At 40.8% G+C, this 16,216-nt stretch overlaps 1 protein-coding gene and 1 long non-coding RNA gene across 4 annotated transcripts in view; both read left to right on the top strand.

Annotated features, from left to right (window-relative positions):
• Window positions 1-16,216, top strand: part of RSU1 (Ras suppressor protein 1) — a 226,814-nt gene that overhangs the window by 129,591 nt on the left and 81,007 nt on the right. The window lies entirely within an intron of this gene.
• Window positions 65-10,077, top strand: LOC124902385 (uncharacterized). Its single transcript, XR_007062073.1, has 2 exons — window positions 65-243; window positions 520-10,077. It is a non-coding gene; the product is annotated as an uncharacterized LOC124902385 (long non-coding RNA).

Genomic DNA, 16,216 nt, shown 5'->3' with positions numbered 1-16,216 from the left:
GTGGGAGGATGCCTTGAGCCCAGAAGGTCAAGGTTGCAATGAGCCAAGATCACACCACTGAACTCCAGCTTCAGTGATAGAGTGAGACCCTATCTCAAAATAATAATAATAATAATAATTTGATTTTTTGTTTAATTGCTCAACTGTTCCTGTATGTGATCATGAGGTATCAGTTACCCTGCTAAATTGATACCTCCCTCTTTAATATGACAGGAGGAATACAGAGGATGTAAGGAAGAATACGTAAGTTCTTACTCTCTTCCAAATGTTGTGATAGATTGCTTAGTGTATTTTGCATTTAAAGGATTTTTTTTTCTGCCTTGTAACTTGGTTAACACTATTATTCATATATACTTCACAGGTAACTAGTATTTTTCCCTTTTTTGCATTTTCATAATTTATTCAATATATGATGTTTTCACAGGCTTTTGAGGCTTTACTTTTCTGTAATTTTATAGCTCATGCAAAATGGTTCAGTTTTTTAAATGGAAGGTGCTTGTTCCCATTTGATATTTCCAGGACACTTGGATTCTGTGAGTTAAGTTGGGAACTTCCATCCCCTAATCCTATGAAGGTCAAAGGTGAAACTCTACTAGGGCTTAAAAACCAGCTTCAGGAGACTAGCTGTATTCCTGAAGACATCTAGTAAGACTCCATTGTATACGTGTCCTACTCTGGAGTGTTTTTCACTGTGATATGCAATAGATGCAAATAAAGACTTGGAAAATGTACCCTCCCATATCCACGTTGCTTTCTTCACTACTTCCCTCTGGTCCTCTAATGTGGTTAATCCTCCAGCACTCTGTGCTTGCCTGGGAGCTCTGACTGGGACCTGGTAGGCTCAGGTTTGACCAGTGAGAAAAAACCCTATGCTCCTTGCCTTTTTTACTCAATGCAATTTGCATTTTATTCAATGACTAGTGTACTTATCTTTGAAGAGTTGTGGATAACTATTAGAGGGGCATAGGGGAAAAAAACTACAGCTGCAACATCAAAGGGAGAAGAGAGATTTATCCTGAACCTTGCACTACAAAAGGCTTTTCCGTAGGACTTTAAAGAGTAAAACTATCTCAGTCTCTCTCTGTGTGTGTCTCTCTCCTCCTATTCCAGTCCCCTCTTTCCCCTGTTCCCTTCTCCATCCCCCTCACTTGATTGTTGACTATCAAGCCTGCATTTGGCATGCCTTATACAGCTCCTAAAGTGGAGCATGATACATTACAGTATCAATTTAAGGTAAATAGAATATAGATAATTTGTCTCACTTGACAGAAGGAAAATAAATATCAGCTAGACTCCATCCATACTCCAAAAAACCCATAATGTGTCAGGTTACATTCTCTTCAAGAGGAGCTATTCTGAGCTCCTTTTTTTTGGATGCTATTCATTTGATATAATCATATTGAACTATTGGATATTGACCTCACTGAAGTGAAATTGGTCACCTCTACATATTGATTATTAACTCCCAGGAGTCTTAAAAGTTCAATGCTTGATGCTTTCTATTCAGCTGAGATGAATTATTGCCTGCATTTGCTGTTTTTATTTGAGAGATAAATTTAAAAGTGGCGCTTTTATAATCAAACAAAACTGTTTGTGGTTTCTAATCTCTACACAGTAATAACTTGTTTTATTACATGCTGGTTTTTTATTGAACTCTGGTTTCTTATCCTGGCCAGGCATTGTTGGAGGTTTTGTGGGGTTTTTTAAATTTTTAATTTTGGGCATTTAAGGATTCTTCTGTGTTGTCAGTTATTTTAGATTAAAATGCAAAATGCTATGAAAGGAGTTTCAATCAACTTTATCAGATAAAAAACTTAAATGTGAGTTATGTTCACAGGCATTTATCCATGCCTCAATGTATTCATCAAGCATTAAGGAAATAACTTTCCATATTTTGTTCTACTGTGTTTGCATATTATTTGTTTATAAGACTCTTGATATTTTTTAAAATGTAGTCAAGAATAAAATATTATTTTCCACTTTAATAGTTCTCTCTGGGACGCATGAACCAGAGCGACTCCATCTTCAATGGTAACTGAGTAAAATGAGGCTGAGACCTGCTGGGCTGCATTCCCAGATGGTTAAAGCATTCTAAGTCACAGGGTGAGATAGGAAGTCAGCACAAAATACGGGTCATAAAGACCTTGCTGATAAAACAGGTTGCAGTAAAGAAGCTGGCCAAATCCAACAAAACCAAGATGGCGATGAGAGTAACCTCTGGTCGTCCTCACTGCTACCCTCCCATCAGCGCCATGACAGCTTAGAAATGCCATGGCAATGTCAGGAAGTTACCCTATATGGTCTAGAAAGGAGAGGAATGAATAATCCACCGCTTGTTTAGCATATCATCAAGAAATAACCATAAAAATGGGCAAACAGCAGCCCTTGGGGCTGTTCTGTCTGTGGAGTAGCCATTGTTTTATTCCTTTACTTTCCTAATAAACTTCCTTTAACTTTACTCTGTGGACTCGCCCTGAATTCTTTCTTGTGTGAGATCCAAGAATTCTCTCTTAGGGTCTGGATCGCGACCCCTTTCCTGTAACAGTTCATTTTTAAATAATCTTATTTGGTGTTGTTTGGTTTTGAGACGGAGTCCCGCTCTGTTGCCCAGGCTGGAGTGCGGTGGTGCGATCTCGGCTCACTGCAACCTTTGCCTCCCAGGTTCAAGCGATTCTCTTGCCTCGGTCTCCCGAGTACCTGGGGTTACAGGCACACACTACCATGCCCAGCTAATTTTTTTGTGTTTTTAGTAGAGATGGGGTTTTGCCATGTTGGCCAGACTGGTCCCAAACCCGTGACCTCAGGTGATCCGCTCACCTCAGCCTCCCAAAGTCCTGGGATTACAAGCATGAGCCACCATACCCGGCCTAAATAATCTCATTTGGAACATATACAATACTGTCATTGTCAAAATGCACATACTTTATATTCTCTATCCAATTAGGTAGTGTCTATTTGGAAATTAAATTATTGAAGTTTTGGGGTTTTTTTGTGACAGGTTAATGAATAAGTACAGTGGCTTTTGGGTGTTTCTTTTTCTTTTCCTGGTGACAGCTGATTTTGTCTTTACTATTTGTATTCGTTTGCTTTGGCTGCCATAACCAAGTACCACAAACGGCATGGTTTAAAAGCAGAAATTCATTGTCTCATGTTCTAGAGGCCGGAAGTCCCAGATCAAGGTGTCAGCAGGATTGGTTTTTTCTGAGGGCAGTTAGGGAAGGGTTTGTCTAAGGCCTCTCTCCTTGGCTCTTTTACCCCTGTGCTGCTTCACATCATCATCTCTCTAGGTATCTCTGTCTCTGTGTCCAAAGCTCCCCATTTCACAAGGATATCAGTTATCCGGGGTGAGGGCCCACCCTAATGACTGCATTTTAACTTGATTATCTCTTTAAAAACGCTGTCTCCAAATATGACCATTGAGGACTAAGCTCTGGTTTTTTTATCTTGCCAAAATTCGTATCTAGAGAGTTGGGGAGTCATGCCCTACTAACCATAAATTCTTATCAGATGGGTTTTATTTAACCCTACATATCCTGACTTACTTTCCAATCTGACTCTGGCATAACATTATGTGACAAAGAAGAAAATAAAAATCGTTTACCCCAAAACATGTTTCTTTGCTATATTTTGAAATGGCCCTGCACAGCCATCCTTTGTGGGTGAAAATGCGCATCTGTAAAGAATCTCTGCTAGCATAGCTAGATCTTTTTCTTTCACCACCCTCCCAATCCTGAGGAGATGAACTGAGTGTCTAGCACCTTGTATAGGTCTGAATAGGGAACATTTGTCATCTGTTGTCTCTAAGGACAGCCAGTATGACACTTCAAGAATCTTGGTCTCCACAATCTTTTATCTTAACCTGAGCATTTCCTTTCTATTAATCCCAGGTCTTAGACAAACTCAACCAATTGTCAACCAGAAAATGTTTAAATTTACCTAAAGCCTAGAAGACCCAGCTTCGAATTGTTCGAAGTTGAACAATTGAATTGAAGTTGAATTGTTGAACCGCCTTTGGACCAAACCAGTATATTTCTCAAATGTATTTGATTGATGTCTCATGCCTCCCTAAAATGCATGAAACCAAGCTGCGCCCCAACCACCTTGGACATATGTTCTCAGGACCTCCTGGGGGCTGTGTCACGACCGTGGTCACTCATATTTAGCTCAGAATAAATCTCTCCAAATATTTTACAGAGTTTCTCCTCTTTTTGTTAGGAGGTTAGGACTTCAACAAAAAAGTATTTGGTAAATTTGCCATATAAAATAACTAAAACTTCAATGATAATTTACTCAGTCTCCATATAAACAACATCAATCAAAAGTATGTGCGTGTCAAAGGTGATAGAATTGTCTGTCTTCCCAATGAGATGATTTACAAATTAACCATTATAGTGGAAAACAGTATTTCCTGGGCTATTTTTTAATACCATGAACCTTATAAACACATATGAAATAATATACAAACACAATAGAATGAAATATTTATTGTTACTCAAATGCCCAGAAACGGCATTGAGTTGTTTATGAATTTGTTCCTTCATTTTCCTCTCTTCATCTGTAGCCTCTACACCTTCACAGGGAGACACGTTCTGTTTATGAGCCAGTGTGTTTAAATGGCTCTCCAAGTCTTGATCCACACCCCTACCACAACACACACACACACACACACACACCACACACCCATTCCTCTCTTAAGGCTTGGGTTTCAACATCATGTTATTCTCCAGAAATGCACATTTACCACTGTTTCATTGTAAGGAATGGCAGAGGGGTCTGTTATTGTTAATCTTTTAAGAATGGACCCTGTTAAAACAAAAGCTGCTTTGAATTCGAAGATGCGTTAGGAATGAAAGGTACCTAACAAACCACCTCTTTGTCCTATTTGGTAGAGAATTCATGAAGGGAGGGTTCCACAGAGCACCAACCCCTATTGTGTCCTTCACTCATAAGGAGGGCATGTGCGGTGTGGAGGGTCTGTGTCATGTGATGGGACCCCCTCCAGTAGGTGTGGATCCTGGGACCTGTGTGGTCCTGTGTAATGGCTCTTGGAGTTTTGTTACAGGAAAGGGGTCCCGATCCAGACCCCAAGAGAGGGTTCTTGGATTTTGCACAAGAAAGATCCAGGGTGAGTCTGCAGGGCAAAGTAAAAGTAAGTTTATTAAGAAAGTAAAGTGGTGAAAGAACAGCTACTCCAGAGACAGAGTAGGTGTTCCCGAAAGTAAGAGGAGGAACGCATGTCCACCCTAGGTAACATGCATGCATGTGTGTGTGTGTGTGTGTGTGTGTGTGTGTGTGTGTATGAATGATTTTAAAAGACCATGGAGAGATGTGTTCTGCTACAAGGGTTTCTGATAAAGGATTAATTTTCTTAATTACTATATTTTGCAAGAATCAATATTATCTTTAAAGCAAAATTAGGAATGCCTTTGTTTTCCAGATATCGGGATATCAGGACACTCCCAAGTCTGGGTCTGTTTAGTCAACATTATCAGTCTGTTCCCGTAACTATAAGCATTTAGAGGCTAGGAATGCCTAGCTGCCTGGGAGTGCAGCCCAGCAGGTCCCAGCCTCATTTTCCTAGCCCTCACTCAAGATGGAGTCACTCTGGTTCGAACGCCTCTGAGGGTTTTGCCCTATAGAGTGTGGAGTCAGAGATTCCCTGTCCCATCTTGGGACTCTGGTCACCACATCTACAGCCTTCATGATTTTTGTCTCATTTTTCCTACCTTGTCCCAGGAGATCTATGGATTGGTGGGTAGCATCAAGAGGCACAGAATTCTCTTCTCATGTAGTTAAAGCTGGCTTGCTTTCTCAGCATGCCAAGAGAGGTATCAAAGATGGAGTGCTTATTTTCATAGGATGCACCATGCTGTAAAGACACAGTGACTCTTCCGTGAAACACTAAGGAAAAAAGAAGGGGAAATAAGGAATATAGGACTTGTTAGAGGAAAAAGGCTCCAGGTAGAGATGGATTGATTTTTATTATAAATTTGAACTTTTTAAAATCAAAATAACATTTTTAAAAAACATACAGCACATATATATGGCATATACATAGGACTTGTTCTTAGATTACTCATCTTAGAGGTGGCTTCTAGTGTCAGTTTTCTCATGGCAAATGACCTCATCCCACCCACCTCAGCTTCCCCATCTGCACAGCTCAAGTTTCAAACTAGATCATCTCTGAGGGTCGTCCCAGCAATGATTTCTAATCCTCAGTTCTTTATTTTTCTAGGAAACATATTTTATTGACATCAATTCATTATTTTTTTAATTCAATTTAATTCTTAAATTTGCCTCCCATCTGGATTTGCTTTATCGATTTTTTTAAGGCAATAGAAGACAATGATGACCCTGAATACAAATTGTTACGGGAAAATGGATCCAAGATAAAATTACCAGATCAACCTTTTTATTCCATATTTTATGGAATATCTAATGGATGTTTGGCAGTAACTTATTCTTACACACGAATTCCTGACAGTTTCGATTCTTCAGACTTATTAATCAGTGTAGTCAGCACCAGAGCAATTTTATGAGACTTAACAGTCATCAAAAATTTATTATCAGATAAATCAGAGAAACAACGAGCATCTTAATAGGTTAGAGAAAGTGGCATGTAAAGGATCATTTAAGATGGTGCTTTTTGTCAGTTGTGCGTTATATTTACAACCAATATCTAAGAACTTACTCATAATTTCATGCAAATAGTCAGCAGGGTGATAGTTGCTGTCTTAGGTCAACCTTTTCTCTTTGTTTTTCTCCAGCAGAATGTTGTGTTTGGTGTAACTATAAGGCTAAGACTGCTAAATAGACACACAATAGGAAGCATCATTTCCCAATGTTAAGCCTATAGCATTTATTTTAATGCAGTATCTCCATTTTCTTCTGGATTTTATTAGAGTTGTCATCCAAAATTAAGAGTTACTGAGCTCAGCCCTTTCCCTTGGGAACAAGGTGCTAAACTTGAGCTCTTTGTTTTGTTTTGTTGTTTCATTTTTTCCTGACATAGTTTGGATATCTGTCCGCACCCAAATCTCATGTTGAAATGCAATCCCCAGCATTGGAGGTGAGGCCTGGTGGGAGGTGTTTGGATCAGAAGGGAGATCCCTCATGAATGGCTTTTGCCGTCCTCTTGGTGATGAGTGAGCTCTTGCTCTGAGTTCACACAAGATCTGGTTGTTTAAAAGTGTGTGCCACCTCCCTCCCTCCCCTTCCCTTTCCTCTTGCTCCTGCTTTTGCCACGTGACATGCCTGCACCCCCTTCATCTTCTGCCATGTTTGTAAACTTCCTGAGGCCTCCCTAGAAGCAAGCAGATGCCAGCACTATGCTTCTTGTACAGCCTGAAGAACCATGAGCAAATTAAACTTCTTTTCTGTATAAATTGCCTAGCCTCAGGTATTTATAGCAACGCAAGAATGAACTAACACAGTCCTTGTTTTTTATTTTTCTTCTTCTTACTATTTTTTTAAACTTGAGCTCTTTGGAATGTCATGGGAAAATGGTATTCAGATTGCCTTTCTTATGTCCAGGCTTCACGTGTACATTCTGTCCTGAGACACAGGCCTGTGTCTGCTGTATTCTCGGCACTGTTTTTGATACCCCGTTAAAGGTGTAATAAGAGACCAGATTTCTTAAAAATCCGGTTTTTGGCTTTGTGCGATGTCTCACACCTGTAATCCCAGCACTTTGGGAGGCGAGGGCAGGCAGATCACTTGAGGTTAGGAGTTTGAAACCAGACTGGCCAACATGGTGAAACCCCATCTCTACTGAAAATACAAAAATTAGCCAGGCATGGTGGTGCACGTCTGTAATCCCAGGTACTCCGGAGGCTGAGGCTGGAGAATCGCTTGAACCTGGGAGGGAGAGATTGCGGTGAGCCAAGATTGTGCCACTGCACTCCAGCCTGGGCAACAGAGTGAGACTCTGTCTCATAAAAAAAAAAAAAAAAAAAAAAAAAAAACTTGAGTCTTTATTGTGCCAGATGAGGGGAGTTTTTCCATCACCGTATCTTTGCCCTGAGTGTTCCTGCATCACAGTATCCTCTAGGGCAGAAGGATGGTGATGGTGGGCCACGTGGGAGCTGAGCTGGCAATAGAGAGCCTTCAGACAGAGCTGCTGGGAATGGACCCAGAAAGACAAGGCCGGGTTACATCCCAGCAGAGATACAACCTGCTTTCCACCTCACGTCCACGTGTGCTGCCTTGTCTGTCTGGAATGCTCTTTCTTCACATCTTTACCTATTAAATGCCCAGTTATTCTTCAAGTGTCAGGTTAAATATCGCTTCCTCAGAGATCTTTTCTTGGAAGGTTTCCCTACTGCCCATCAACTCTAAGCTCCTTTTATCATCTTTCTTTAGGGCCTCTACTTTCATTAGTAGTAATTTTAATAATAACAGTGGCTATCACTTCTTTCCCAGGTGTCAGACATTGTATGCCTTGTATGTACTGTATGTAAGTTTCTCACTCAATATTTATTGGTGTGAATACTACCTGTATTTTAGTAGTTAAGTATGTGTTTTTTTCTCCTGTAAGAGACTGAAGTCTTTTTGAAAGCAAGATTCCTTCTTGACTGGGCTTTGCACATGACATCCCCAGTGTCTTATATAACTTCTGACAGGTCACCCTAATTTCTGAAAAGTAAGACCATTCTGGGGTCTGGAGTGTTCCAAGTTATACAGTTCATTGTTTTTGGTGGTAGGTAATAAAAAGTACTGGAAACATTAAAATGTGTTCTCACTATCTAATACTCAGCTTAGATTATGACTTCCCTATGGTGCTTCGTTATTTTTATAGATCTTTTTACCACATTACTCTTATGGTGCAAATGAAACATTTCCTTAACCAATAAACTAATTATGTTTGAAAGCAAGACTTTTTTTTTTTTAATTCAAATCTGAGGGATCTGTGATTCACTTGTCTGCCTTCTCTTTTTCCATGATGGAGTAGTCCATGGGGCATGTGGAATGCGTGATTGTGCTTGTAAGTGGATGGAATATTCCTGAAGGATAGGCAATAAACTAGTAATGTAGTAATGGTGGTTATCTCTAGGGAAAGAAACTGGATGGCAAGAGACAGGGAGGAGTGGGCACATCCTCTTCACTCTTTATCCTGTGGTACCTATTGAATGTCCTATTTTCACATGTATTCACTATTGAAAAGATTATTTCTTAAAAAAAGAAAATACTCCCCAGTAGGAAGTTTTTACTTCCCCATGAATGTATAAAGGAAGAAACCACAAAGAATGTGGCTTTGTAACTGGTTTTGTCTACACTATCTCCTATTTTCATTCATTTGAAGATTGTGTGGAAGTCCTCCTTTTTAGTCTCCCTTTGATCAGGTACACTAAAAATTTTCAAGGTGATATCACCTCGTAAAATGAGTCCCGAATCTTGGAAAGAGACAATTTGAAAGACAGCTTGAGAGAAGGTTTCTCGCTTAATGCATGGACCATCCCAATTCTTGGCTGAAGCATTGTGAAATCTTCCACTGTTTATAACACCTGTCAGATAACATTAGGCTTTCCTATGTTCTTGGAAGAATCTGTGGCAGTCTGTTTTTCCTTGAGAATCAAATGAGAAAAGATGGTCATTCATGAAGACCAACAAAAGAGAAGAATAAAGAAAAAGCAAGAAAATGGATTTCTACGTTGGGTTTGTTTTGTTTTGTTAGGGGTATTTTCCCACCTAAGACTTTAAGTGAGAGAAAAGCTTTTCTATTTTTGAAAGGGCATGAGGGTTTGAAATAAGGAAGAATGGATCTTGAAAGAATTGATTGTGTCTTAAAGGATGGAAATGCGCTTCGGATTCCTACAGTGAGACAAGGATTTTTTTTTTGTTTCTTTTCTCCTTAATTTTTTTAAGCTGTCAACTAAGATGACGTGTGTGTTTCAGACTGTTTATGTGGGATTATGAGCATGTTTAATCTGTTCTTGTGCATTCCCAATAGAAACTGCGTGAGTGGTGTGATCTTTTAATAGAATGTGTCTTGCAACTAACAAATGTATTTTGGTGCTAAATTCTGGATAATTCCTAAGAAATGTAAATGTTGTCAATAAAAGTTTTTGTTTTGAAATACTTATAATCTTGGAGCTATATTATTTTAAGTTTTCTGAAGACAGTCTCTGCTTCATTTTTCTAAGTTTAGTTGAGACAGGGCAACAAGAAAAAATACTGGCCATAAAGTAAAAATATTCTCTATAAATTTTTGGAACATGGTTAGAAGAGAACTGCAAATGGGGAAACAGCTCCTTGCAGGCCACTGTACACATGCATGATACAAGACGACTTGGGTTTACTCTGGTTTCAGTACTAAGAGTATTGAGTGGCTTTTACTAGAAAAATTCAGGACCTGCATTATAAAGTCAGCTACTCCCAACTTCCTACCCCCATTTTTATTTTCTTCATGTAGATTAGTGTGTGATACAGTTTGCCTCAATTACACTAAGGAGAGAGAATTGACATTTATTGACTTCTGTGTTCCTACCATGCACATCCAGGCCCTGGTGAATTCTTTACAGAATTCATCTCCTGTAGGTTCACAGTTTGCCTCTGCTTTCAGACGAGAAAACGGACAGTCATCGTTTAAGTAAAACAACTGAGGACAAAGCCAGAAATCAAGTTCTGGCCAGTTTAAAAGAACGTTGTCTCATTTTCCATGTTGCTTTGAGTAACATCTGGGAAGAAAATAAGAAAATGTTAAGTTTATGTTGATACCCTCAAAGGGAAGCCAGTGTATGAAGTTTAGGGGAATGTACATGATCATTTGACTTTTCTGGTTCTTGAATCAAATTCAGCTTCCTACAAGGCCTCATCCTCATACTAGGGTTGCAGGCACATGCGACATTCAAGGGTCCCTAACAGTATTCCTACTGCCAGCTCCTTAGTCCCTCAGGGCTAGCTTCCTGCAATTCACCCTGATTCTAATTTAGCAACCCCTTATCTGAGTGGTTCTGGTACAACAAGTACAAATCTATCTTTCTGCTAGATACACCCTCTGATTTTGGGATTAGGGATACTCAACCTGTATAACTGCAGCCCACAGTGGATATATAACACACATTTATACAGGTTGAGTATCCCTAATCCAAAAATCCCAAATCTGAAAGGCACCATATCTGAACCTTTTTGAGTGCTGACGTGACACTCAAAGGAAATGCTCATTGGAACATTTTGGATTTTCAGACTAGAGATAATGCACTGGTAAATAGAGTACAAATATGTCAATCCAAAAAATCTGAAATCCAAAATACTTCTGGTCCCAAGAATTCTGGATAAAGGATTGATATGGTTTGGCTGTGTCCCCACCCAAATCTCATCTTGAATTGTAGCTTCCATAATCCCCACATGTTGTGGGAGGGACCCAGTGGGAGATAATTGAATCATAGGGGTGGGTTTTTCTCATGTTGTTCTTGTGATAGTGAATAAGTCTCATGAGATCTGATGGTTTTATAAAGGGCAGTTCCCCTGCACACAGTCTCTTGCCTGCCACCATGTAAGATGTGCCTTTGCTCATCCTTCATCTGCTGCCATGATTGTGAAGCCTCCCCAGCCATGCAGAACTGTGAGTCCATTAAGCCTCTTTTTCTTCATAAGAAGTTTAATTTATAAACTACTCAGTCGTGGGTATTTCTTCATAGCAGTATGAAAATGGACTAATACAGGGATCAACCTGTGTTATTTTGTAGTCGGGCTTCAGTCTGTTAATGCATATTAAAGGGTATGACCTTTCTCTAGAATACTTACTAGTATTTGTCTCTTTTGGACTTGAGGATGGACTCCTGGCTTTTCTTGGCTCATCATGTACCAACTGACTGTAATCAGATTGGCCAGGACAGTCTTTACCAAGCTTTCTGCGTGATCCCTTCTTTGTCTTTGTTTTATTAGCTCTAGACTCAGGCTCTAATTCTGTTGCCCATCCAAGAATGAGCCCTTCTCCAGGGAGCTCTTATCCACTAAGTGGAAAATCATATTAGCATCCAAATCTGAGGCCCAGGAAAGTTTTAGAGCATGGAAGCAGAGGCAGGGTGATGTCAGGTCTGCCAGCTATTTGAGTGACAAAGCAGAAAAATTACTTTCTACTCAAAGGAGCACGCGTTCATGTTGATGTTCTCCATTTACTTCTATCTTTTTTACATTTATTTTGTCCTTACTATATTACCAGAATTTATTAATCCAGTCCCCCTTTGCCAAGCCATATGTACTAAATGAAACCATGTGTTTATGTGAATAGTGATCCCATATTTCCAAATTTTCCTTTTCTTGTCTCTTCCTGACGCTGGTCTCTAGTGTTCTGGAATTGGCTGCCAAGTGTGTAAGCTCAGGAAGTTCCCCTTGTTACTGTCCACAGAGCAATACCTGCCTGAAAAGAAAAAGAAACAGCGACCTCCTTCTAGGTTTTATACTTTAAAAAAGAAAAAAAGAAGTGTGGGCCACTCAGTAGTAGAAAGCCTTAGGTCACCTGATGTCTAGGTAGAATACCATTTAATTATGGAACAATAACAGTGACATCGGGAAGACATAACTACAAAACCTTTTGAAGTCTGTTACCTCCTGATTTTCTTGGGCACTAATGTTTGTCTTTTAACACTAACAGCTTTACACTTTTTTTTCTTTCTTTTTTTTTTTTTTTTTGAGACAGAGTCTCGCTCTGTTACCCAGGCTGGAGTGCAGGGGTGCAATCTCACCGCAACCTCCGCCTCCTGGATTCAAGCGATTCTCATGCCTCAGCCTCCCAAACAGCTGGGGTTACAGTATGTACCACCATGCCTAGCTAATTTTTATTTTTATTTATTTATTTTTGATACAGGGTCTCACTCTGTCGCCCAGGCTGGAGTGTAGTGGCACAGTCTTGGCTCACTGCAACCTCCGCCTCCCAGGTTCAAAAGATGCTCCTGCCTCAGCCTCCCGAGTAGCTGGGATTACAGGCGTGTGCCACCACGCCTGGCTAATCTTTGTATTTTTAGTAGAGATGGAGTTTCGCTGTGTTAGCCAGGCTGGTCTCGAACTCCTGAGTCTCAAGTGATCTGCCCACCTCGGCCTCCCACAGTGCTGGGATTACAGCTTCTGGCCGGCTTTACACTTATATTCAGTTTCTAAATGACCTTAGGCTTGCTGTCTTATCTCATTCAAGTTTCAGTTCAAATGCCATCTCAGCAAAGTTTTTTCCATTATCACTGTATCTAAAGTGGACCCCATCGCCCACCACCCACTCCTGCCTCCAATTTTATCGTCTCTCTTATGCTTAGAATGGAGTCTCCTGCAAGAGCGGGAGACGTAGTTTTGTACACTGCTCTGTCCTCAGGAGCTTCAGACATTGCCTGGCACCTAGTGGACTCTCTGAATATTCGATGAGAGCTGTTGTTGTTTCAAGCATACTTTGTCACCTGCAGTGTAAACATTTCTGTTAGAGGATTTAAAAAAAAAAAAAAAAAACCTTCCGTGACACATCCGTGACACATTTTCAGTGTTTCCCTTTTCCTTGTGTCTGAGTTGCTCAGATTTCATATTATTACTGCCACTTCCATCACCATAAATGTTGCTCTGATGTTTCCAAGGCTGCAGCCTTTCCCAACCAGCTATTTCCCATCAAATCTAGTCGCTCTTTTTAGCTAGGCTTTGAAAGAAACTCCTGCACACAGAATTTTAAAGGGCAATATCGGGGGCCAGGGGGAGGGGAACAAAACAAAAACAGACGCTTTGTTTGACCTGGACTCAGCCCACTTGCCTTATATTTTGTTTTGTTTTTGAGTCAGCCAGGCCTCCCATCCCCTAACAGACACCTCTGTGTGTAGGACCTAGATATTGGCTGCTGAGAGCCTCAGGATGCAGGTGTTGCTTTTGTGTTCCATCACGATGGTGTGAAAGAGCCTATAAAAGGTAAATTGGCAGGCTTTGAACTATAGTAATTGCTTGAAAATAAACAGCAGAGGAGAGGGGAGGGGAGGCAGCTCTTCTTCCCAGCCCTTAAAATATGTGCGGGTTACGTTGGCAAGTCAGAAAAAGTACTTAGAGCCTGATCTCTGAACCTAAGGACCTAGGCAGAAGCGAGCATAAAGAGTCCCTCAGTCATCACGCAGTCTTTGGGTGCCAGAGGTCTCCTGATCAGCCCCATTGAGAAGCATCTGTGTGCTGCAGGAGGCTGTGCCGTTGCTCATCCTTCCACCTGCGTCATTTGAGATGGAGCCTGACCTGTTGAACACAGGGACATCCAGCGCCAGTCAGGCATGATCACGTGCTTCAAGAAACATTTGGCTTTTCTCCACACAGAAGAATCCTGTCAAGACAGGGCTTCTCCATTTGAGCTTAAATTTTCTCACAGATGGAATTAATTTCCTATATTGCTAAGAAAAATTCTCCCAGTCAAATTCCCATTGTTAATTAAGTGTTGAGGAGAAAATTGGTATTTTGTTTCTTTCTCCTAAAATGTGGAAATAACATGGTTTCATTTTAATTATGTATGGCACCAGTAAAAAGAAAAATTTGTAGCTGCTCTGTTCATGTTGGAGCAAATGTCCTGCTTTTGAGAATAAGTGTGGCTGCATGCTATACAAAAGAGAAACAGGGACTCCACAGCAATTGTCAGAACCACAGTATCACAGCGCTTCTGGTCTCTGAGTCCTACCAGGTACCGGAGATGAACGCTTCTCCCAGCGGGACTTATGGACCCTGAAGAAGCATTTCAATGGGGTCAAAGGACTTCTGAATACCCTCTAAGGAAATGTACAAAAACTATGAAGTGCCTTTTAATGAGGAGCAGGTGTAGCCTTGGAGAATAAGCTTGCCCTAGGAGACATGCTAGGTTCTCTTCCACCTGTAGACCAGTGGGTGTAAGCCTGGCCCTGGAAACAGGCTGCCTGGGTTCAAGCCCTACCCTTACCTTTTGCTAGCTTTGTGACATTGGGCCAGATAGATTTGTTTTTCTTTTAACATCTTTATTTGACAACAATTGGCATACAACAGACTACAATTAGGGTGTACAGTTTGATGCATTTGATAAATATATACATCTGTAAAACAATCAACTTAAGACAGTGAACAAATTCCTCATCCCCAAGGGTTTTTTTATGCCCATGTATAAACCATATTTCTCATTTGTGCCTCTCCCTTCATTTCCCCCATCCCCAGGCAACCACTGACCTACTTTCTGACTGTATGTTTGCATTTTGTAGAGTGTTCGATAAATATAGACATATAATGTGTACTCTATTTAAAAAAAAACAACTGGCTCCTTTCATTCAGCATAAGTATTTTGAGAGTCATTCATTCTTGTTCCATGCATCAGTAGTTGATATCTTTTCATTGCTGATTTGTAGTCCATTGTGTGGATATACCTCAGTTTGTTTATCCTTTTGCCTGCTGGTGGACGTTAGGCTTATTTCCAGTTAGGGGCTATTAGAAATAAAGCTGCTGTGAGCTTTTGTGTAAAAGTCTTTTGTTGAACATGTGCTATTGTTTCTCTTGGGTAAACACCTAGGAGTGGAATGCGTGGGTCATATGGCAGGTATGGATTTACCTTTTTTTTTGAGACAGAGTCTTGCCCTGTCGCCCAGGCTGGAGTGCAGTGGCGTGATCTCAGCTCACTGCAAGCTCTGCCTCCCGGGTTCACGCCATTCTCCTGCCTCAGCCTCCTGAGTAGCTGGGACTACAGGCACCCGCCACCACGCCTGGCTAATTTTTTTTTTTTTTTTTTGTATTTTTAGTAGAGACGGGGTTTCACCATGTTAGCCAGGATGGTCTCAGTCTCCTGACCTCATGATCCGCCTGCCTCAGCCTCCTAAAGTGCTGGGATTACAGGCATGAGCCACCGCGTCTGGCCAGATTTACCTTTTTAAGTAACTGCAAAACTGTAAAATAAGATAATCCTGGATTATCTGATATACAATTTCTCACTTAAAAGCCTTTGAGCCAGCCGGGCATGGTGGCTCATGCCTGTAATCCCAGCACTTTGGGAGGCCGAGGGGGGTCGATCACAAGGTTAGGAGATTGAGACCATCCTGGACAACATGGTGAAACCCCATCTCTACTAAAAAAATACAAAAATTAGCTGGGCATGGTGGTATGTGCCTGTAGCCCCAGCTGCTTGGGAGGCTGAGGCAGGAGAATTGCTTGAACCTGGGAGGTGGAGGTAGCAGTGAGCCAAAATCGCGCCACTGCCCTCCAGCCTCGCAACAGAGTGAGACTCCATCTCAAAAACAAACAAACAAAAAAAAACACC

This window comes from Homo sapiens, chromosome 10, assembly GCF_000001405.40.
Source record: "Homo sapiens chromosome 10, GRCh38.p14 Primary Assembly".
Lineage (NCBI taxonomy): Eukaryota > Metazoa > Chordata > Mammalia > Primates > Hominidae > Homo > Homo sapiens.
This window is presented reverse-complemented; position numbering and strand designations above follow the sequence as displayed.